The sequence below is a fragment of the Homo sapiens genome, chromosome 13, assembly GCF_000001405.40.
Source record: "Homo sapiens chromosome 13, GRCh38.p14 Primary Assembly".
NCBI lineage: Eukaryota > Metazoa > Chordata > Mammalia > Primates > Hominidae > Homo > Homo sapiens.
In genome coordinates this window covers 100,127,977-100,152,106 of record NC_000013.11, presented here as the reverse complement: position 1 = coordinate 100,152,106, position 24,130 = coordinate 100,127,977, and the positions used below count along the sequence as shown (strand labels likewise).

Below are 24,130 nucleotides of genomic sequence, written 5' to 3'. Positions count from 1 at the left end.
TTAAAGAGACACTTAAGAGTCAACCTGGAAAGAACAATCTAACAAACTTTTGAAACTCTATTTCAATTTTGTTGTCATTGTTGTATGAAATGTGTGAGGTGTTTTTTTTGGCTTAATAATACAAAACAAACAAACAATATTCAAGCAATGCAGATGCTATTCTGCAGAATGACTTAATATTGCATAGGCTGAGTAGATATATTTGTTTCAAAAATTTCAACATCTTGAAAAATATAAATTCCTTTTTATATATTTTAATGGCAAAGGAAATACATAACAACCATGGAAAGTTTAAACTGAGGTACACTAATCAACTAAGCAGGATTTACTGGCTATATGTTTCAAAAAGAAAAGTAAAGCATTTTAAATACTAACACTAAGTATAGTTTGTCTTCATAAACTTCTCCGTTCTCAGAAAACCAATAGAGATTTTTAAAGCAGATTATTAGCTTTCCCATCAAGCATTTAGGGTTTTTTTTGTTTTGTTTTGTTTTCTGTTTGTTTGGTTTTTTTTTTGAGACAGAGTTTTTGCTCTTGCCCAGGCTGGAGTGCAATGGCGCGATCTCGGCTCATCGCAACCTCCACCTCCCAGGTTCAAGCGATTCTCCTGCCTCAGCCTTCCCAAGTAGCTGGGATTACAGGCATGCGCCACCAACCCCGGCTAACTTTGTATTTTTAGTAGAGATAGGGTTTCTCCATGTGGGTCAGGCTGGTCTCGAACTCCCGACCTCAGGTGATCCGCCTACCTCAGCCTCCCAAAGTGCTGGGATTACAGGTGTGAGCCACCGCGCCCAGCCAAGCATTTAGTTTTCTATTTTGAATTATTTTATTCTTCAGAGAAAAATTACTAGCATCAACTATTACCCGTATGAGCCTAATTTCCAAATAACTAGAACAACAGATGTGTTTTTCATCTTACAGGACTGAGAAAAATCATCTTCTTTATTAACTTTTAAAAAATAAATTAAACTTCTTTTCTTCCGTCTGGCAGCAGCCATCAGGTAAGCCAAGATGGGTGCATACGAGTACATCCAGGAGCTACGGAGAAAGCAGCAGTCTGATGTCATGCGCTTTCTTCTGAGGGTCCGCTGCTGGCAGTACCGCCAGCTCTCTGCTCTCCACAGGGCTCTCCGCCCCACCCAGCCTGATAAAGCGCGCTGACTGGGCTGCGAGGCCAAGCAAGGTTACGTTATATATAGGATTCGTGTTTGCCGTGGTGGCCGAAAACGCCCAGTTCCTAAGGGTGCAACTTATGGCAAGCCTGTCCATCATGGTGTTAACCAGCTAAAGTTTGCTCCAAGCCTTCAGTCCGTTGCAGAGGAGCAAGCTGGACGCCACTGTGGGGCTTTGAGAGTCCTGAATTCTTACTGGGTTGGTGAAGATTCCACATACAAATTTTTTGAGGTTATCCTCACTGATCCATTCCATAAAGCTATCAGAAGAAATCCTGACACCTAATGGATCACCAAATCAGTCCACAGCACAGGGAGATGTGTGGGCTGACATCTGCAGGCCAAAAGAGCCCTGGCCCTTGGAAACGGCCGTAAGTTCCACCACACTATTGGTGGTTCTCGCCGGGGAGCTTGGAGAAGGCGCAATACTCTCCCGCTCCACCGTTACCGCTAATATAAGTAAAGTTTGTAAAATTCATACCTAATAAACAATTTGAAATAATAATATAAATAAACATATACAATGATAAAAATATTAAAAATAATAAAAATAAAAAATAAATTTAAATGTTTGGATATAAATAGGTTAAAAAGTATGCCTGCAGCCAGGTGCAGTAGCTCACGCCTGCAATCCCAGCACTTTGGGAGGCCGAGGCGGGTGGATCACAAGGTCAGGGGTTCAAGACCAGCCTGACCAACATGGTGAAACCCTGTCTCTACCAAAAAATACAAAAGAAAAATTACCTGGGCGTAATGGTGCATGCCTGTAATCCCAGCTACTCGGGAGGCTGAGGCAGGAGAATTGCTGAACCTGGGAGGCAGAGGTTGCAGTGAGCCGATCAGGCCACTGCACTCCAGCCTGGGCAACAGAGCAAGACTGAATCTTTGCGGGCGGGGTGGGGGGGAATTATGCCTGCATTTAAAAACTCTGGATTAATAGAAAATTTCATATTAGTCAATTAGATGCCTAAAATACATTGAAAAAGACATTCTATTTGGTCCCTGTCCTTATCAAATAGATTGCATATGAGTGATAAAAAGTGCTAGGCCAGATGTTATATTTAGCATAAAACTCAATGGTCTCAGTGAAACATTTTGAATACCTTCTAAACTAGTACATACTGAGAAAGGTAGAGAAGACAAGCAGGTTTGGAAATGTTTCTTCATGCCTAGAGATATTTTGAAACCTATCACTCAAGGAGATCTGTAATGAAGTGGACACTATTTACCACGACTGAGAATACAGGAGTTTTCCTTCTGATGTCCTTCAATGCAAGACACTGGGTAGAACACTCCAAGGATGATGTAATACGGACTAGATGCACTCCTTGGCTGAAAGTAGCAACAGCTTACATAACCCGGCCAGTCTTCAGTATCCACCAAATCTAATCAAATTATCCAAACATTACTAACCAATGAAAATTATCCTGAAAGTAGAATAGTGGTTGCCAGAGACTGTGGCGAGCCTGGAATGGGGAGTTACTGTTAAATGGGTACAGAGTTTCAGTTTGGAATATGAAGAGAGTTCTGGAGATAGATTATAGTGATGGCTGCACAACAATGTGAATGTACTTAATGCCACTGAACTGTACACTTAAAAATAGTTAAGATGGCAAGTTTCCTTATAAGCATTTTACCACAATTTAAAAAATAATAAACTTGTTGGGAGTCTCAAAAAAAAAAAGAAAGAAAATTACCCTGAAAGACTAAAAGGTTAAAGGAAAGCCAACTGCATCAATCTTCATTTGAATAACTGAAAAAAAAAAAAAAAATCAAACAACCAGATAAAATCCTATTTCTAAAAAAAAAAAGAATAGAACTCTTTCTATTTCATTCAAAGTATCTAAAGATACTTTTATAAGTTTTAAAAAACTAACATTCTGGCATGTCCTTTCCCAGAAAGGCAATTTGATCATAGAAAACAAAATGATTTTTTTTAAAGATTCGCTTTGATTCCATTTTGAAAAACTACATGTGTAGCACCAAGACATATTTATTCATGGTTATTTTGGATGGTAGAATTAGTGGACTACTATTTTTCTTCTAAGATAACTTACATGATTTTCAAAGTGGTAAAATTTTAAACTACAGGAAAAAAAGAGAATACGTTTTTGCCAGTTGCAAAATTCCCAGCCCATTTTCTACAATCCTGTTTTCATTTCACAAAAGGGAACTAATACTGAATCGATCTCGGAACCAAAACAAAGGTGTTTTGGGGTTTTTTTGCTGTTTGGGTTTTTTGTTTTTTGTTTTAGTCTTTGTCTTGCAAGCATGCATTCCTGACGATACAGTAAACAACAAAATAATGAAAACCAGCAGGAGGAGAACTATCTTCTCATACCACTGACCCCTTAGTAGAAGCATCAAGGGAGAAGGGGAGGAATGACAGAGAGAAAGGAGACATCAAGTATTCAAGCAAAACCTTAGCAAGAGTCATGTCAGTGTAGCTGGTGGGTACCAGACCACAAATGAAAGGACTGCGGAATAAAGCAGAGGAAAAAGTAGAGTAGGGGTGGGGTGGGTGGGGTGAGGACTGTACATATGGCTGGATGTAAAGAGTAGGAGAGGCAGAGTGACAGCCAAGAGATGACTCAGGTTTGTTTTCCTTCATTAGCTTAGGAAAAACTTGAACAAATGCCTTTGAGAAGGGTAATGTGCAAAATAACTAGGTAAAAACACCTGAGATATGACATAATTCAGAGTAAAAAGTTTCTGACAAGCAGTGGCAGACCCAAGAGGCTTCCCAAGTGGAGGCTAAGGTGGCAGTGAGCTGTGATTCCACCACTGCACTCCATCCTGGCTAACAGAGTGAGACCCTGTCTCAAAAAATAAAAAATAAAAAGACTAAAACTGCCGTGTGCAGTGGCCCAGTTCCTGTAGTCCCCACGGCTTAGGAGGCTGAGGCAGGAGGATCACTCAAGCCCAGGAGTTCGAGTCCAACCTGGGCAACACAGTGTGACCCCATCTGTAAAAATATAAAATAATAATTAAATAAATGAAATAAAATGAGCAAAATAGTAAACTTTATGTTATACAGATTTTATTAAAAACACAAAAAAAACTATATAGATCCATCACAATTTCCAGCCAATTACGGACAAGCCAGAGTGAAAGTATACATTTGAAGAATGTCACTACGTAGTAAAAAAAGAAATAAATAATACTACCTAAGAAAAACTATGACAAGTTAGGTTAGGGGAGGAAACAAGAAAATACCAGTAAGAGTGTGGGCTCAGCTCTAGCTTGCAATCTTTAAGATTAATTTCCACTTACTAAAGAGAAAGCTATCACACATGCATTCAAAGTCTAGTGATGAAGTCATAAATACACAGGCATATATTTCTGAATACATCTTTCTGAAGCAATAACAGAGTGAAATTCTAGGAATAGGGTTGGGAAATAATCTCCACTGAAATCAATATTTTTAAAAAAGTGTTTCCAAACCATATGAACAGCTAATGCCAATTCCACAAAATATGGAGAGCCACCAAAAGTCATGGGATCTTAAAGCCCTACCAGAGCCCCAGCAGCAGCTATCACTGCTCAACACAGGCCACTAAATGATGACACTATGCATATAAAGCAAGTCATTTAGATGTTCTTACATTTTTCAATTTTATTGTAATTACCCAAGTAATGTATGAGTTACTCCTTTGGTTAAAAAGAAAAAAAGCTTAAGCAGTATAGATACCAGATAACCATTATTCCCTGCCCCGTTTTAAAGGCTCCTAGTCCCATTTCCTGTTATCCAGCCATGATCAGTTTTGCATGTGTCCTTCCAAACTTACCTAAGCATTTTCATATGGATATGCAGAAATAAAGGTGCAGAGTTTTATTTCATGTTTAAGATTTTTCTTGGTATAAACTGAATCACACTACATTTTATTCTACAACTAATTTTATCACTCAGTTTTTTTTTTTTTTAGAATTCTACCTCATAATTTTTAACTGCTACCCAGTATTTCTAGTAATCTAGATGAACCATAACTTATTTAACCATTCTCCTAGTATTGGACATGGTTCCAATTTGCAGGTATTGTGCGCTGCAATAAGCTTCCCTAAACATGCCAATCTGCATACATATGTATATTTCTATAAGAAAAATATTTAATTTAAATACAAATACCACAAACTACACATTTAAAATCTTAGGTCAACTTACACTACTATTAGAGATTAATTTCCCAACACTACACCATCACTGAACATGATTTATCTTTCTAATTTTATTAATGTAATGGAGAAAAATGATTCATTTTTTTAATTCGCATTTTCCTGGTTATTAGTGAGTTTGGGCACATTTGCACGTTTGTAAGCTACCTGTATTTCTTCTAACTATTAACCATTTTTTTTTTTTTTTGAGACAGAGTCTCACTCTGTTGCCTAGGCTGGAGTGCAGTGGCACGATCTTGGCTCACTGCAACCTCCGCCTCTTGGGTTCAAGTGATTCTCCTGCCTCAGCCTCCTGAGTAGCTGGGATTACAGGCATGTGCCACAACACCTGGCTAATTTTTGTAGTTTTAGTGGAGACGGGGTTTCACCATGTTGGTCAGGCTGGTCTCAAACTCCTGACCCCGTGATCCGTCTGCCTCGGCCTCCCAAAGTGCTGGGATTACAGGCATGAGCCACCGCGCCCAGCCACCATTAACCATTTTTAAATTTAATACAACAGATATCTTATAAAAAAGCAAAGCTGGCCGGTGCGGTGGCTCACGCCTGTAATCCCAGCACTTTGGGAGGTGGAGGCAGGCAGATCGCTTGAGGCCAGGAGTTTGAGATCAGCCTGGCCAGCATGGCAAAACCCCATCTCTGCTAAAAATACAAAAAATTAGCCGAGTGTGGTGGCGCATATCTATGGTCCCAGCTGCTTGGGAGACTGAGGCACAAGAATCACTTGAACCCAGGAGGCAGAGATTGCAGCGAGCTGCCGAGATTGCACCAGCGCACTCCAGCCTGGGCGATAGAGTGAGACTCTGTCTCAAAAAAAAAAAAGCAAAACTATCTTTTGTTTTGTTTTTAATTACATGTAATATATGTAAATATATGTAATAGCTAAACTTTTTTTTTTTTTTTGAGACGGAGTCTCACTCTGTCGCCCAGGCTGGAGTGCAATGGTGCAATCTTGGCTCACCGCAACCTCCACCTCCTGGGTTCAAGCGATTCTCCTGCCTCAGCCTCCTGAGTCGCAGGGACTACAGGTGTATGTCACCATGCCCAGCTATTTTTTTGTATTTTTAGTAGAGATGGGTTTCACCATCTTAGCCAGGATGGTCTCCATCTCCTAACCTCATGATCTGCCTGCCTTGGCCTTCCAAAGTGCTGGGATTACAGGCGTGAGCCACTGCGCCCTACCGTTATACCTAAACATTCTTATTCAAAATAAAGCTAACAACTCCACTGACCACACCTGTCCCCATTACAATGTCTCTCTCCGGTAATCACTTAACAGGTGAATATGCATTATTAGACTTCAATATATGCCAAGGGATCCCAACTTGGAGCAATTTTGTCCCCCAGGACACAGTTGGCAATGTCTGTAGATAGTTTTGGCTGTCACTACTGGGGCCTGAGGGGACACGACTAGTATCTAGAGGGTAAGACGCCAGGGATGCTGCTAAAAACCCTCTAGTGTGCAGGACAGTCGCCCATGACAGAGTCCTCTAACCCATAATGTGAACAATGCCACTGTTGAGAACCTATGCTGTATGCTTTTACATAGGTAACTATAAAGATATTTTAGGTTGGGATTCTTTTACCATTAATGGTATCATTATACCATATGTGTCCTTACACAAGTTCTCTTTCCATTTTTAATGTCTTAGAGATGTTCTCTGTTGATATACAGAGATCCACCTCAGTCTTTTTAACTACTAAAGAATTCCAAGATATGGCTCTACCTGTTTACGAATCATCTGCTCCCTCATGGACACTGAGTGTGGAAGAATCACCTAGCTGGATGTCACTTCTTGTGCTCAAGGCTGTCTCCTCTGGAGCTGCTCCCATCTTTGCAGCCATCCTCTCCTATCTGTGTTTCAGACTGGGGTTTCCTGGGGCATGATCCCATCAGCCATCTCTCTTGCAAAATTCCTCACTGTTTCCAGGACCAGCATTTCCAGGATCCCATGAGTACTCTTTACCATTTTCCATCAAAATTCTGGTTTGTTGTTTATCTTTAGGTCTTTTCTCTTCAACTTTTTCTCATCCCTGGGAATTTGGGACAGGAAGATGAAGTCTGGCTCATCCCAACAGCCTTAATTATAAGTCAGGACTTTTAAATTTTTTCATTTCTTAACATAGGAAATATATAGTGTATGTATTTTTAATTTAAAAATCAAAGATTATAAACAAGAACATAGTTTTCTACAATTAATCAGTTAAAACTTATTTTTAAGACTGTCATGAAAAGCATCAACTAATCTAGTGAGCATCTAATATGATATAAAAATGAGTACATGAAAGTGATCATACCAGTCCTAAATTACTACAGCCATTCCTCTATTTATGTATCTTAATGGTGAGTATCTTTCTCCTAGTATCTATGCAGACATCATGGCATTCCTAGAAACTCTAAAAGCTGGCTTTCTGGGCTCAGATTCCATTTCCCACATTATCCAATATTTTTGCTGGGATCCCAAAAGACAGGACAGCTCTTGATTTACGGTATATGGCTGTTTAGTTTCTTACCAAAAACTATCAGATGAGTATTACAAATAGCAGCAAAATCAACCACTCAAAAGCTTCCTGGTATAGTTAGCTCCCAGACATTGAAGGTAATCATGAAAAGCAGTTACGGAGCTCAAGAAGTTTTCCTTAGCACAGTCATTTTTCACCAAGCAGTGGTATGAAATTTAAAGACATCAGAAATATCTGGGGCCGGGCATGGTGGCTCATGCCTGTAAACCCAACACTTTCGGAGGCCAAGATGGGAGGATCATTTGAGCCCAGGAGTTCCAGACCAGCTTGGGCAACACAGAGGCCCCATCTCTACAAAAAAAAAAAAAAATTTCTCTTAATTAGCCAGACATGGTGGCTGGCACCTGTAATCCCAGCTGCTTGGGAGGCTGAGGCAGAATGATTGCATGAGCCCATGAGTTGGAAGTTGCAGTGAGCTATGGTCGTGCCACTACACTTTAGCCTGGGTGACAGAGCAAGACCCTGACTCAAAACCAAACAAACAACAACAACAAAAAGAAAACAAAAATGTCTAGAAGTGTTTTATTTTCTCTTCAAAAATAAATATTCTTTCTCCCCATTTCCCAAAAAAGAAAATCATTCTATACCCGAAGACAGAATAAGTACTTTGAAGGAGCTCAAGAAACAATTTTTATTTCTTCCTATTCATCCAAGACTAATAATTAATAAAGATTTTTATTTTTTTTTTTTATTTTTTTTTTTTTGTGGATGCAGAGTCTCGCTCTGTCACCCAGGCTGGAGTACAGTGGCGCAATCTCAGCTCACTGCAATCTCTGCCTCCCACGTGCAAACAATTCTCATGCCTCAGCCTCCCAAGTAGCTGGGACTACAGGCGTGCACCACCACAGCTAGCTAATTTTTTTTTGTATTTTTAGTAGAGACGGGGTTTCACCATGTTGGTCAGGCTAGTCTCAAACTCCTGACCCTCAAATGATCCACCCACCTCAGCATCCCAAAATGCTGGGATTACAGGCATGAGCCACCGCACCTGGCCAAAGATATTTTAACTCAATAGTTAAAGACCCAAAGTGACTATGCCATTCACTGAATTTACCTGCAACTCCTTAAGTAGGTCCAGCTACCAGGAACAGAAGTTCCTCTTTAGGGACTTAGTTTACAGAGTATAAGAGAACCACACTCAGATAAACACAGCAAGAGTAGCAGGATTGAAAAACAGAAGGGTACCTGTATCTCAACTCCTACCTTCCTTGGAATTGAAGCCCATGTAAGGGGGAGAATCAGAGCCCAAAATGTGAAAAAACATAAATGTATCAGGGGAGATCAAATCACCTACTAGTCGAAGAATGACCCATCTCCAGCGGCACTGTCATACACAGGGAGCCTGATACGCTATGCTGGGCCACCAGCTGAACCTCATCAGATGAAAACCCAAGCATGATGTCAGCAAGCTTACCAGCCTCATACTAGGACAACCACATAGAATCTAGTCTGTAAGAAGGTTCATTTCAGCTGGGTGTGGTGGCTCATGCCTGTAATCCCAGCACTTTGGGAGGCCGAGGCGGGTGGATCACCTGAGGTCAGCAGTTTGAGACCAGCCTGGCCAACATGGCAAAACCCCATCTCTACTAAAAATATAAAAATTAGCTGGATGTCGTGGCACGCACTTGTAATCCTAACTACTCGGGAGGCTGAGGTAGGAGAATCACTTGAACCCAGGAGGCGGAGGTTGCATGAGCCGAGATCATGCCACTGCACGCCAGCCTGGGAGACAGAGCAAGACTCCATCTCAAAAAAAAAAAAAAAAAGAAGGCTCATTTCATCTCATAGAGATTTCAGGAGGAGTTAGTCCTTTAATTTCTGGAACTAAATTTGTGACAAGAGGTACTATAAAGACGGGTTAAAGACACCCTACCTGGCAGCAGCAATAGGCAAGGAAAAACTGAATGGTTGAATGAAGGGCTATAATCCACCTGTCTTTTATTTCAAAATCTAACTTTTCTCCAAGTCCAAACATCTGGCTGGCTTAGGAAAGAACACTTAGTGCAGCTGTTGGCATGCCTCTTTTGTGTAAAAGAGTAAATAAATAAATTCAAATAAAAAGAAACATCTGGACAGCACAAGGTAGAAAAACTCTACCTTATAGGAGGTGGCAGCTGGCCCTCAGAAGAGAAAAGACTAGAGAAAAAAAAAATCTGCCCTACTGGAAGAAAAACTGTATATAATAAAAAGATCAGAAAAAATGAATTTCCAAGTATTATTGCCAACACTCAAAGTCATCGAAACATATTTCCCAAAACATTAGTTCCTAATTCCATTTAAACAGTACTTGCCTTTGTTTTCCACTCTCTTATGTAATTCAACTATTTGATGTTCCACCCATCATATCCCTTTAACATTAACTAAATCATGAACACTTCCTTTCTTTTCCCTGATCCACTCAAAAATTTATTACAGGTATACTTTATTACAGCAAGGTATAAAAAGATGATAAATCACAGTCCTCTACCCCTCCAGGAGTTTGGTCTGGTATGAAAGACTTATACACCAACTGCAATTAAGAGTAATAAAGGCTGGGTGTGGTGGTTCACGCCTGTAAACTTAGCACTTTGGGAGGCCAAGGCGGGCAGATCACTTGAGGTCAGTAGTTTGAAACCAGCCTGGCCAACATGGTGAAACACTGTCTCTATTAAAAATACAAAAAAATCAGCTGGACATGGTGGTGCATGCCTGTAATCCCAGCTACTCGGGAGGCTGAGGCATAATAATCACTTGAACCTGGGAGGTGGAGGTTGCAGTGAGCCGAGATCACGCCACTGCACTCCAGCCTGGGAGACAGAGTGAGACTCTGTCTGATAAATAAATAAATACATAAATAAATAAATGTAATAAAAAATAACATGTACAAATGGTTTCACAGAGAATTGGCTATTGAACAATAAAACTGGATTTCTAATAAATGAAAAAAAGTGAGAGAGAACTAACAGAGAAAGAGTACATTCGAAATGGTGGAAATGTGAAAGGTGCCAGTATAGAAATCTGTGAGATGGCTTGAAAATAAAGTGTATGAAAAGGGACTGATGGGAAAGGATGGTAGAAGAAAAATCAGTAGGAACTTGAATGGATCTTGAATGTCACGGTAAAGTGTTTGGATTTTGGGAAGTCTGTGATTCTCAATGTTTATCTCCTATGGAAAGAAAATAACATCCACAGGAGGCAAGCTATACTGCATCATTAATAGCAGCTTACTATATATTACTGCAGTTGAGTCATTCAAGCAATTAGCTGTAACACTTTCCTTTCTCTCCCAGTAACCTCAGATGAAGGTTAGGACATAGTGCTATCAACAATGAAAACCTCCTTTATTTTCCTCTGTTATCTAACCAAACTTTTACCATAATATAGGATACACAACATAGTATACAGGATGCAAAGATGCATTCTGCTAATTCCTTCCCACATTTGTTTTCTAAGTAGCTTTCAAGAAACACCCCTGGCCATTCTAACTGCAGGTAAGATGGACTAAGCATGCTCCACCCCAACTATCCCACTGAATTCAACTATGAAACCTCAAAAGAATGCACGAATCAAGTATTTATAGACTTGGAAAAGCAAACAGTAGCAGGCAGATCAAGGAAGAAAAGAATTCAAATTACTATAAACAAGTGGTGAGTTTTATCATTTTCTTTTCCTCCCATGATCTCCCTGACCGACCTTGGAAAAGCCTGAAATGCAAAGTAGGCATGGGGACACTGATGGAGAGAACTCCAGGAGAACCCCTATTCATCTCACTCAAAAGGCAGGAAAGGGAGCTCCTGATACTTACAACATTATGGAAATCTCAATTCCCATATTTTTTTTCCTTTTGCTCTATTCTTTTTTGCCCCAACCCCCAAGTAATTTTGTGGCTGTGGTACCAGAGGCAGACATAGATGCCAGCAAGAGCCAAAACAATGAGAGAAGAAACATTCTTCTTCAATCAGTGAAACTGCAGTCTCAAGAGGGCAGGTAAAACCCCAAGGTTTTTTCTGCTCTCTCTGTGCTCTTTACACGTCCTGGACACAAACACAAAATTTGAACAGCAGAGCAAGGTAATAAAACCTCAGATTTCTAAGTAAGAAGACTGAAAAGTGAAGGCCTAAAGAACCAGAATGGGAGAAGCTAGCATGGAGAAGTGACACAATAAAGTTGTTTATGAACTTCTGAGCTCATCCCTAGGTTGGGCATGTATGGATGTAATTCTAATAAGTATACCAAAGAATTTAAACACTGAACTAACCACAGATCCCAGACTGATGAGTTGTTGACACATATGTGGGGTGGATCTGTATAGGAGTACAAAGACCCACCGCCCACAGGAAAAAAAAAAACAAAAAAAAACTGGAATGTGCACTCTGAAGCCAACCAAGTTAATTGCTACTGAAACAAAAATATTAACATCCTAAAAAGAAATGAACTAAATTCAGAGGATTATGTCTCATAACATCATACTCAAAATATCTAAAATTAACCCAAGAACCAAGTAAATCTCTTACAGGGAAGGAAAAATCAAATACCAAGACCAAAGTAACAAAAATGTTGAAATTATCTCACAAAGATTTTAAGGAAGTTATTATTAAAGTTTTCCAACAAGCAATTATGAACACTCTTGAAACAAATGGAAACTTTGAAAGTATCAGAAAAGAAACAGAATTTGTAAAAAGAAACCAATGGAAAATTTTAAACTAAAATATGCAATAATCAAATTAAAAAAAACATACTGGATGGGCTCAAGGGTAGACTACAGATGACAAAGGAAAGAGTCAATAAATCTGAAGACTGATCAACAGAAATTATACAATCTGAAACAAGAGAGAAAAAAAGAGTAGAAAAAATTAACAAGAGACTATGGAACAATACTTAAAGGTCTAACATACATGTCTATCAGAGAAAAGAAGAAAAAAAATGTTCTCAGCACCATGCTGAGAAAATATTTTTTTTAATAAGGACTGAAAACTTCCCAAGTTTGGTAAAAGACATAAACCTACATATTCAAGAAGGTCAGTGAATCTCAAACAGGGTAACAAAAAGAAATCAGAAAACATAATCAAACCACTGAAAATTAAAGACAAAATTCCTGAAAGTAAACAAAGAAAAACAACACATTAACTATAAAGGAATGATACTCAAACTACTATGGATTTCACATCAGAAGCCACAAAGACCAGAAGGAAGTGACATAATGTTTTTCAAGTGCTGGAAAGAAAGAACTGTCAACTCAGTACTCTATATTCAGTGCAAATATCCTCTAAGAATGAAGGCGAAATAAAGACATTTTCTTTCTTTCTTTTTTTTTTTTTTTTTTTTTTTGAGATGGAGTTTTGCTCTGTCTCCCAGGCTGGAGTGCAGTGGTGTGATCTTGGCTCACTGCAACCTCTACTGTCCTGGTTCAAGCCTTTCTCCTGCCTCAGCCTCCCAAGTAGCTGGGATTACAGACGCCTACCACTGCGCCTGGCTAATTTTTTTGTAGTTTTGGTAGAGACAGAGTTTCACCATCTTGGCCAGGCTGGTCTTGAACTCCTGACCTCGTGATCCACCCGCTTCGGCCTCCCAAAGTGCTGTGATTACAGGCGTGAGCTATTGCACCCAGCCAAGACATTTTCAAATAAAGGAAAACTAAGAGCATTAGTTGCTAGCAGATCAGCTCTAAAACTGCTTAAGGAAGTTCTTCAGACAGAAGGAAAATAACATTAGAAGGAAATCTGGAACATAAGGAATGAAGGAAGAGCAACAGAAATGATAACATTGCTTTTGAAATACGTTTAACTGTTGAAAGCAAAAATTTTAACATTGTCTGATGGGGTTTTCAATGCATGCAGATATAACACGTAAGAAAACCATAACATAAGAAGAGAATGTAGATACCTGCATGATGGTAAGACTGACATATTCCAATTAAGGTGGTAAAATATGAATTTTCAATAGACCATAGGAAGTTAAGTATGTATATTATAATCAATAAAGTATTAATTTGAAGAAAAACTACACGAGATAGTCATAAACACAATAAATTTCAAAGGAATACTTTTAAAAAGTTCAAATAATGCAAAAGAAGACACAAAGAGTGAAACAGTGAAAAAAACTAGATAGAAAAACAAAATAATAAAACAGTAGCCCAAAAGCCAAACATTTCAATAACTACATTAAACATAAAAGTGGCCAGGTGTGGTGGTTCATGCCTTAATCCCAACACTTTGGGAGGCTGAAATGAGAGGAATGCTTGAGTCCAGGAGTTCAAGACCAGCCTGGACAACATAGGGAGACCACGACTCCACGAAAGAAAATTAGCTAGAGGTGTTCCCAGTTACTCAGGAGGCTGAGGTGAAAGGATCACTTGGGCCCAGGAGGCTGAGGCTGCAGTGGGCCATAATCGCGCCACTGCACTCCAGCCTGGATGACAGAGTGAGACCCTGTCTCGAAAAAAATAAAAAAAAAAAAAAGACTTAAACATACAAATTAAAAGAGATTGTCAAAATATGACCCAAGTATATGCTGTGTACAAGAGAGTCACATCAAATATAATGACATATGTAGTTTAAAGGTAAAATGATGGGAAAAAATACGATGCAAACATCAAGCAAATAAAGGCTGGAATGCCTAGGTTAGTATCAGAAAAAGTAGGCTTCAGAGCAAAGAAATTTACAAGGGATAGAGAAGAACATTACCTAATAGTAACAGGGTCAATTCACCAAAAAGATACAATAATCCTTAATGTGTATGTTCCTAACAACAGTGCTTCATAAAGCAAAAACTGGCAGAACTGAGAGGAGAAACAGACAATAACCCAGTCATCGTTGGAAACATCAAGACTCTCAAAAGAAAGACAAGTAGTAGAAAATTGGCATGGATATAGAGGAACTGGACAATACCACAAACCAGTTGTATCTCACTGACATTTATACAGTACTGAAGTCTAACAACAGAAGACACAATCTTTACAAGTGCACATGAAACATGCAACAAAACAGGTCATACCTGGATCAGAAAATGAACTTAACACACTGAAAAAAACTATAATAATACAAAATATGATCTCTGAACAAAGAGAATTAGTATTAGAAATAAATAACAGAAAGACAGTAGAAAAATCTCCAAATGCTTGGAAATTAAACAATTTTAAATAACCTATGTGCAAAAAAGGAAGTCTCAGAAAACATTCTTAACAAAAATGAAAACACAATATATAAAAAAAAATATTAGATGCACTTAGAGTGCTTAGAGAGAAAATTATAGTATTAAATAAGAAGATATATCTCAAATCAATAATCTAAGCTCCTACCTTACAAACCAGAAAAAGAAAAGCAAAATAAACCTAAAGTAGAAGGAAGAACACAACAGAGGAGATATCAATAATTTTTAAAAGAGAAAATAGAGAAAAAAGACATCAATGCAACCTAAGCTAGTTATTCTAAAGCATCAATAAAACTGATAAATCTCTAAAAAGACTAAGAAAAGAAGAAAAAAACGACATCCAAAATAAGAAAGGAAAGAGGTTATCACTACAAACTATGCAGATATTAAAAGGATAATAAAAGGTTTCTAAGAATAATTCTATGTGCATAAATTGGACAATTTAGATGAAATGAACCAATTCCTCAAAAATGGCAAAACACAAAGCTAACAAAACACACTCAAAATAAGATAGATAACCTGAATACTCCAATAACTATTAAAGAACTTGAATACGTCATTTAAAACCTTCTGAAGAAGAAATCTCCAGGCCCAGATGGTTTCACTGGAGAATTCTGAACAATTTTATAGGCCGGGCGCGTGGCTCACACCTGTAATCCCAGCACTTTGGGAGGCCAAGACAGGTGGATCACCTGAGGTTGGGAGTTTGAGACCAGCCTGACCAACATGGAGAAACCCCACCTCTACTAAAAATACAAAAATTAGCCAGGCGTGGTGGTGCACGCCTGTAACCCCAGCTACTTGAGATGCTGAGGCAGGAGAATCACTTGAACCCGGGAGGTGGAGGTTGCAGTGAGCCGAGATCACACCATTGCACTCCAGCCTGGGCAACAAGAGTGAAACTCCATCTCAAAAAAAAAAAAAAAAAAACAATTTTATACACTCTCATTCAGAGAAGAAACATTTCCCAATTAATTTTATAAGGACAACATTATGCTAATACCAAAGACAGTACACAAAAAGAAAACTGCAGACCAATGTCCCTCATAATAATGATGTAAAAAATCCTTAACAAAAAATTAAGAAGTCCAATCCAGCAATATATAAAAAACAATACACCACAACCAAAATGCAAAAGTAGCTTCATACTAAAAAAATCAATCGCTCAGCGTAAAATAGCATATTACAATCAAAAGGAAAAAAACCCCACATGATCATATCAATTGATTTAGGAAAAGTGTAAGACAACATTCAACATTCATTGGCAGATTAGGAGTAGACAGGATCTTCCTCAACCTGATAAAAAGCAACCACAAAAAACCCACAGCTAATACCATACTTAATTCTGAATGACTGAACACTTTTCCACTAAGATTGGGAATAAGGCAAGAATGTGCACCACTGCTACTCCTCTTCCTCTTCATACTGGAATTCCTAACTAGAGCAACAGAAAAAAATAAAATAAAAGACATACAAATTATAAAGAAAAAAAAATCGAACTGTCTCTGTTCACAGACAACATGATTATCTACATAGACAACCCCAAGGAACCTACGAAAATACTCCTAGAACTAATGAGTTTAGCAAGATCACAGAATGCAAGGTCAACATTCAAACATTAATCATACTTCTACTACTAGCAATGTACAACTGGAAACCAAAATTTTTTAAACAATAACGGAGTCTCACTCTGTCACCGGCCTAAACAATAATTTTTTTAAAGAGACAGAGTCTCACTCTGTCACCCAGGCTGGAATGTAAGTGTTGTGATCATAACTCATTGCAGCCTTAAACTCCTGGGCTCAAGCAATTCTCCCTCTCAGCCTCCAGAGCAGCTAGGACTACAGGTATGTGCCCCTACACCCTACTATATTTTTGTTTGTTTGTAGAGACAGGGTCTGGCTATGTTGCCCAGGCTGGTCTCAAACTCCTGGCTCAATGATCCTCCCACCTCAGCCTCCCAAAGTGCTAGGATTACAGATGCGAGCCACCACGCCTGGCCAAACAATACAATTTTAAGAGTCTCCAAAAAAAAATTACACTTAGGTTAAAAATCTAACAAAACAGTACAAGCTGGGCATGGTGGCATGTACCTACAGTTGGGAGCTATTTGGGAGGCTGTGGTGGGAGGATCACTTGAGCCCAGGAGTTTGAGGCCAGCCTGGGCAACACAGTAAGACCCTGTCTACAAAAAACAAACAAAACAAAGCATGTGCAGGATCTGCATATTGAAAACTATGAAATGCTAATGAAAGAAATCAAAGCAGACCTAAACAGGCTAGGCATGGTGGCTCACACCTGTAATCCCAAAGCAAGAGAACTGCTTGAGCACAGGAGTTCAGGACCAGCCTTGACAATATAGGGAGACCCTGTCTCTACAAAAAAATTAAAAACCTAGCTGGGCATGGTGGCACAAGCCTGTAATCCCAGCTACTCAGGAGGCTGAGGTGGGAGGTTTGAGCCCAGGTGGTCAAGCCTACAGTGAGCTATGATCACACAACTGCACTCCAGCCTGGGCAACAGAGCAAGACCCTGTCTAAGAATACCACCACCAACAAAGAAAACCTAAATAAATTAAGAGACATGCCATGTTCATGGATTGGAAGACTCAACACAGTGGAAAATGTCAATTCTTCCCAAACTGATGTAGATTCAACAAAATTCTAATCAAAATCTCAGCAGGATTTTTTTTGTGTGTGTACATAAACATAAGCTGATTCTAAAATGTATACGAAAAGGCAAATGAACCAGAATAGCTGAAGCAGTTTTGGAAAAATGGGGGGAGAAAAAGAAAGGTAGAGGAATCCAATTTTAACACTATGTAGTACTGACAAGGGAATAGACACAGATGAATGAAAAAGAACAGAGTCAAGAAACCCATCCAAATATCACCCCATTTGATTTTTGACAGAGGTGCAAAAGTAATTGTATTAGTCAGGGTTCTCTAAAGGGACAGAACTAACAGTATGGATGTACATATGAAGGGGAGTTTATTAAAGAGTATTGACTCGCATGATCACAAGGTGAAGTACCACAACAGGCCATCTGCAAGCTAAGAGCAGGGAAGCCAGTCTGAGTCCCAAAACCTCAAAAGTAGGAAAGCCGACAGTACAGCCTTCAGTCTGTGGCTGAAGGCCTCAGAGCCCCTGGCAAACCAGTTAAGTCCAAGAGTCCAAAGGCTGAAGAACTTGGAGTCTGATGTTCGAGGTCAGGAAGCATGCAGCACAAGAGAAAGATGAAGGCCGGAAGACTCAGCAAGTCAAGTCCTTCCACACTCTTCTGCCTGCTTCATTCTAGCCACGCTGGCAGCTGATTAGAGGGTGCCCACCCAGATTGGGGGTGGGTCTGCCTCTCTCAGTCCACTGACTCAAATGTCAACCTCCTTTGGTAACACCCTTGCAGACACACAATACTTTGCATCCTTCAACCCAATCAAGTTGACACTCAATATTAACCATCACAATAGAGAAATACTATTTTCAATGAATGGTGTTGAAATAATTCAACATCTATATGCAAAAAAACAAAAAACAAAAAAACCGACTGCAAATCTTACAGAGAATTAACTCAAGATGGATCACATATCTAACAATAAAGGGCAAAACTACAAAAATCTTGAAGAAAATCTTCGTGGCCTGAAGTTAGGTAAAGAGTTCTTAGACATGACAGTAAAACACAACCTATAGATGAAAAAAGTGATCAGCTGACTTTATCAAAATTAAAAACAAGTGATCTGCAGTAGACACTGTCAAGAGGACAAAAAAGACAACCTACCAACTGGAAGAAACTATTTGCCAATCATACATCCAACAAAGGACCTGTATTCGGAATACATAAAGAACACTCTAAACTCAACAACAGAAAAACAAACAAACAAATGAATTAAAAAACAGGCAAAGCTTATTCACTGAAAAGGATACATGGATGGCAAATAAGCACATGAGAAGAAGGTCATCATCATTAACCATTAGGCAAATGCAAATTAAAACCACAATGAGATACTACTTCCAAACCATATTAGAGTGGTTAAAATGAGGCCGGGCATGGTGGCTCATGTCTATAATCCTAGCAGTTTGGGAGGCTGAGGCAGGTGAATCACGAGGTCAGGAGTTCAAGACCAGCCTGGCCAACATGGTGAAACCCCGTCTCTAGTAAAAATACAAAAAGTTAGCTGGGCATAGTGACAGGTGCCTGTAATGCCAGCTACAGCTACTCAGGACGCTGAGGCAGGAGAATCGCTTGAACCCGGGAGGTGGAGGTTGCAGTGAGCCAAGATGGTGCCACTACACTCTAGCCCCGGTGACAGAGTGAGACTCTGTCTCAAAAAAAAAAATACTGACAAGACTGCTGAAGTGGATGAAGAACCACTACAACTCTCATTGTATTCTGGTATAGCAACTCTGGAAAAGTCTAGCAGTTTCTTATACTTACCATATGACCAGCAATCCCACTCCTAGATATTTATACTAGAGAAACAGAATCTGTACACAAATGTTTACAACAGTTCTATTCATAATTGTCAAAAGCTGGAAACAACCCAAATGTCCTTCAACAGGTAAATGGATTTAAAAAAACCTGTGCATCCACACAATGCAACACTACTCGGTAATAAAAAAGGAACATTCTATTGATACACACAACAGTTTGGATGAATCACAAAAACATATTCTGAGTGAAAGTAGCCAGTCTCAAAAGGTTACACGCTGTGTGGAAATGACAATGCTATAGTGATGGGAAACACATCCGTGGTTGCCAGTGTCAGGGTGGAAAAGGATGTGACACTAATGGGATACACAAGGGAGTCTGAGGGGTAATGACTCACAAGGGAGTCTGAGGGGTAATGGAACTACTCTGCATTCTGATTGTGCTAGTAGTGACATAATCTACACATGTGCTGATATCCACAGAAGGGTATGAAAGATGGGTATCCTATTACTATAGGATAATTTTTAAAAATTTAAAAAACAAACACAACTACATATAGGTGAACATTGTGAACAACACTGCAGGCCTCCTGTTTAAGAGTACATTAGCCCTATCTAACTTTCTGGAAATTACCAAGCTCTATTCTGCCCTAGTATTGTCCTCTCCCAGCTTCACCTAACTCTTGTCACCCCCTTCAGGTCTCTGCCAAAATGTGAATTCCTCAAAAAAGCATTCCCTGACTCCCCAGGCTGGTTCAGATCCTCCTGTTCCACACTTACAAAACACCCTATAATTTTTCATTACACTAATGTCATAAATGTATGTAATTATAAAATGTCTGCTTCTTCCACTGAACTGGAAGCCACAAGAGTGCAGGAACCACAACTGCCTAGTTCAAAAGATGTGGAGCATCTTCACATAACAAGTGCTCAACGGTATTTGTTAAAGGTTGAGTATCTGTCACTGCCTACAACCCCATACAATGAACATAAGCTAATATAATAAAATACTGTAAAGGCATAAGTTTTTTCCAACACTTTAAAACACTGTATAAAAAAAAGCATACTAGGTAAAAATTGATAATGCGAAACCATCGCCACCACCCGTTTCCAGAACTTTTCATCCTGCAAAACAATGTGAATGTGCTTAATGTTACTGAACTGTATGCTTAAAAATGTGTGAAATAAAATTGTAAATAAAACTGCAAGCTCTCCAGATGAGATGCACTCCCTGTGGCTAATATACCCACATTTAGACAATGGGTCCAAGCGGCCATAGCAGAGTGAGAGAAGAGTGGTCACCACCCTTCGTTCTTGGAAATCACGGCTCTTGATTAAGAACTGTTCTTAAGCCAGAACAGTTCCTGTGACTGGGGCCAAGAAGAATTGCAGCAGAAACCTCCCCTGCACCAGCCTTTCGAAGGAACATCTGACAGAGACACTTCTGGCACCAGATTAGGGTTCAATCTGAACCGAACAAGCTTGAATCCTTCGTTTGCACAGACCTCACAGAGAATGAGGGCAAGAACTTTCCCTACTTAAGCCAAGCCCCTTTTTTTTTCTCTTTAGAGCAACATTTTCACTAGTGAAAACTATGCCTCCCCAGTCTGCAAGTTTTTTCTATAGAAAATAAAGCTCTCCATTTTTTCCTCCACAGATCTCATCATCTTTTGATAACAAATGGTTAAAATGGTAAACTTTTATGTTATGTATACTTTACCACAATTGAAAATAAATTACTTTTTTAAATGTAAAAAAACTGATACATGGAAACACTTCTTACTGAAAAGAAAAATTACACGAAACCTTCACAAATAGGTTGTGTAATTTTGAAACCAAATTTCCCTATCACATGTAGAGCATCCCAGCTGAGTTTCATCAGTGCAGCCTGGGGATCTGTAACATTTAATTAATACAGTCCACGGAAGACACTTTGCTATATTTAATTATAAAGTCCCCTTTACAAAAATACCTACTATCCATTTGAGGAATATACTATAGACCCGGAAACTAAACTAATCTATCATTGATTTACAGGAAGATTTGCAATCAACTAAATACTCAGTTGTTTACAAAATAAGACATTTTCAAATACTATTTATAAGCAGTTGTACCTCAACTTAACAATTTCTACAAACTCTCCATTGGATACACCACACCCTGTCCCCACACCTCGAGAGTGCTTTTCAGTGCATCTAATTAAATAAATGAATGCCTGAAGATAGCAACAATGAATTTATATCTATTTATCTGAGCTAGAACCTCTTTTCCTTTGTACAGGTTCCAATTCAGATGAATGACTCAGATATAAATCCACCACTGCCATCTCCAGACAGCATTCTGTCTTCCTAAAAGATGCCTACTAAACTTTTCCCTTTGCTACTCCAACTTGGCAGCTGCCACTGAGCAGCAGCAGGAACAAGCAGCAAAGGAAGCAATCCCAAGTGGGGTGAGTGACTGGCTATAGCCAGAGTGCCAGAGCCAGCAAAACAATGCCTCGACTTGCTAAGTAGGGCAAGTCAGGTATCAAGTGGGTAACTTGGATAAATTGATGCTTGAAATTGAGCAAAAACACAATTTTGAGATCTGACATTTTTCTCTGGTTTTTGTGGACTTCAATAAATTTAGCACAAAAAAAGGATGGCACAGTGAGTTCATATTTCAAAAGCTCTCTCTACTTCAAATGTACAACAATGACAATAAAACCCAGAAAGGAAAACTAAGAAAACAGGTAAGCAGAAATAAATGGTAAACATTTCACAAACTCAAAACAGGAGAAAAACGCATAACAATGCTAACCACTGGCTGGTTCCTCAGAAGCAGGAAGTGCCAAATGCAAAGTACAGATGGCGAGAATGTTCTCACAAGACTGAGAAGAGAGCCAGAGCCACTGGTGAAGACCAGGCCAAAGAGGAACTGCCCTTGGCCTGAAGAGGAGGCCACCAAGTATTGTCTGCAACTACAGCTCACTACAACTCCTGGAGACTGTGGACCTAGGGAGGCAGAACCACAGCTTCAGGGTCAAAATCTGAACAAGCTGCTGGGACTAATCTGCCATGTGTCCAAACTATCACCATAAGACCTGGATGTAGATTAGGAATCCAAAATGCCGGCGGGGGGGCACCCACAAAACTACTGGTCAGGGAGAAGGTGGGAGGCAGCAATGGCCGGGGTGAGAGAGAAACTAGGAAAGAGAGAGGAAGAGGAAGGTCAAGGAAGCAAAGGGAAGGGAGAAGATGAAGCATGAAGAGCAATAAACATTTTTAACTTTCACCAGAAAAAAGAGCCTATGAACTAAAATTCCAAAACAGAGTAAGAAAGCATTCGCTATCAAACAAAACTTCAGAAACTGAAACAGTTCACATTAGATAAACTGCCCCAGATGAAATTAATTTTATCAGTCTAAAAGATTAAAAGATTCACTAGAAGATTTTAAAAGACCTTGCTAAAGAAGCAATAACGAAGTGAAGATAGGTGACTAGATTCCAAAATTATTTATGAAAAGGACTTGCTCATAAATTGGAAATGAGAAATGAAAGAAAGAATGATGGTGAACATAAATTCCTACATCTTGTGCTTCTGCAGGAGGATTCAGATACAAGAAGCCCGAAGGATCAAAGTTCAGTTTGGGTAATGCTGGGTTTGAGGTAGTGGTAAAACATTCAACTAGAGACGTCACAGAGAGAGAGAAAACAGAGTTGGAGTCTAGGGTTGATTAAAACCACAGAAACAGAAGTGGAAGAGAATGCCATCTTTCAGGGTAAGGGTAGAGAAAGTACAAAAAATAAAACAATTTTAAGAAGAGCCCACCAATCAAACCTTGAGTGATTCCTGTAGAGGGGACACAGAGGAGGGCCACAGAAGTAGAGAGAAAACTAGGAGATTAAAATGGCACCAAAGCCAGAGGATGAGAGTGTCTGAAAAAGGGTAATAGTGTTAAAAGATTCTGGGAAGTCAAACAGAAGAGGACTGAAAAATGTCCACTGGACTTAACATGAGAAAACTGGTGGTCACACTAGCAAGAACTCTATAGTAGAGTACTGAGGACAGAAGCAGACTGGGGTGACTCAGAGCCTTTGCGCACGCGGTCTTGTCTGCCTAGCTGGCTGACTCCTTCTCATCCATCATTCTCAGCTTACATTTTACCCCTCAGCAAGACTTTCCCTGAGCACCCTATTACTGAAGGGAACCATGATTCTCTCTCAACAACTTGTTTCCCTCATAACACTTATCACAATTTGTAATTATTTATGTTTTATTTCTCTATACCCATCTCTAAAGCAGCAATCCTATCACTTCCAGTCACTCTTCTAGTTCCAGTACCTATCATAGTACCCAGCCTCCAACAGGCACTAATAAAAACTCTGCCTTCAAAGTAATAAACTTCACTTCGTTTTGTGGTGGGAGGGGACTTTTCCTCATACTTAGTATGAGAAGCAACATGCACAGTGGAAACAGTACAACTTAGAAGTTACACATAATTTGAATCTCAGCTCCACTACTTACTAGCCCAGTGATCTTTGGCAACCCGAAGATTGGCTTTATACTTGAAGCCCCAATTTTCTCAATTTAAAACAGTAACAGTAATTCAATCCTTATGTAATTATGTGCTTTTCCAGTACACCATAGATTCTGAATGAGTGAGAGGCATTATTTGGAATAATCATGTCCTTTCCCTCCACTAAGGAGTCTGAATGAGGGAGGCTGTAAAAA

General features: G+C 39.4%; 1 protein-coding gene and 1 pseudogene across 34 annotated transcripts in view, besides 5 other annotated features; one reads left to right on the top strand and one right to left on the bottom strand.

Moving 5' to 3' along the window:
* The window catches only part of PCCA (propionyl-CoA carboxylase subunit alpha), a 441,343-nt gene that overhangs the window by 378,329 nt on the left and 38,884 nt on the right, over positions 1 to 24,130 (bottom strand). Inside the window, exon 1 of one of the 34 annotated variants that reach the window (XM_047430370.1) lies at positions 2,402 to 2,907. The exons of the other annotated variants lie outside the window; for them this stretch is intronic. The gene's annotated coding sequence lies outside the window, so the exon portion shown is untranslated. Of the gene's footprint in view, positions 1 to 2,401; positions 2,908 to 24,130 lie in introns of those variants that run through there. 34 annotated transcript variants of the gene reach the window in all.
* Positions 689 to 1,230: an enhancer, noted in NCBI's record as "H3K27ac-H3K4me1 hESC enhancer chr13:100803131-100803672 (GRCh37/hg19 assembly coordinates)". NCBI's record gives its function as "activates a minimal SCP1, AML or CMV promoter by ChIP-STARR-seq in naive H9 embryonic stem cells {active_cell/tissue: H9 hESC(naive)}" and the evidence as "EXISTENCE:reporter gene assay evidence [ECO:0000049][PMID:30033119]".
* On the top strand, positions 972 to 1,667 carry RPL15P18 (ribosomal protein L15 pseudogene 18; annotated as a pseudogene).
* Positions 1,231 to 1,773: an enhancer, noted in NCBI's record as "H3K27ac-H3K4me1 hESC enhancer chr13:100802588-100803130 (GRCh37/hg19 assembly coordinates)". NCBI's record gives its function as "activates a minimal SCP1, AML or CMV promoter by ChIP-STARR-seq in naive H9 embryonic stem cells {active_cell/tissue: H9 hESC(naive)}" and the evidence as "EXISTENCE:reporter gene assay evidence [ECO:0000049][PMID:30033119]".
* Positions 3,201 to 3,852: an enhancer, noted in NCBI's record as "OCT4-NANOG-H3K27ac hESC enhancer chr13:100800509-100801160 (GRCh37/hg19 assembly coordinates)". NCBI's record gives its function as "activates a minimal SCP1, AML or CMV promoter by ChIP-STARR-seq in naive H9 embryonic stem cells {active_cell/tissue: H9 hESC(naive)}" and the evidence as "EXISTENCE:reporter gene assay evidence [ECO:0000049][PMID:30033119]".
* Positions 22,020 to 22,520: an enhancer, noted in NCBI's record as "OCT4-H3K27ac hESC enhancer chr13:100781841-100782341 (GRCh37/hg19 assembly coordinates)". NCBI's record gives its function as "activates a minimal SCP1, AML or CMV promoter by ChIP-STARR-seq in primed H9 embryonic stem cells {active_cell/tissue: H9 hESC(primed)}" and the evidence as "EXISTENCE:reporter gene assay evidence [ECO:0000049][PMID:30033119]".
* Positions 22,521 to 23,021: an enhancer, noted in NCBI's record as "OCT4-H3K27ac hESC enhancer chr13:100781340-100781840 (GRCh37/hg19 assembly coordinates)". NCBI's record gives its function as "activates a minimal SCP1, AML or CMV promoter by ChIP-STARR-seq in primed H9 embryonic stem cells {active_cell/tissue: H9 hESC(primed)}" and the evidence as "EXISTENCE:reporter gene assay evidence [ECO:0000049][PMID:30033119]".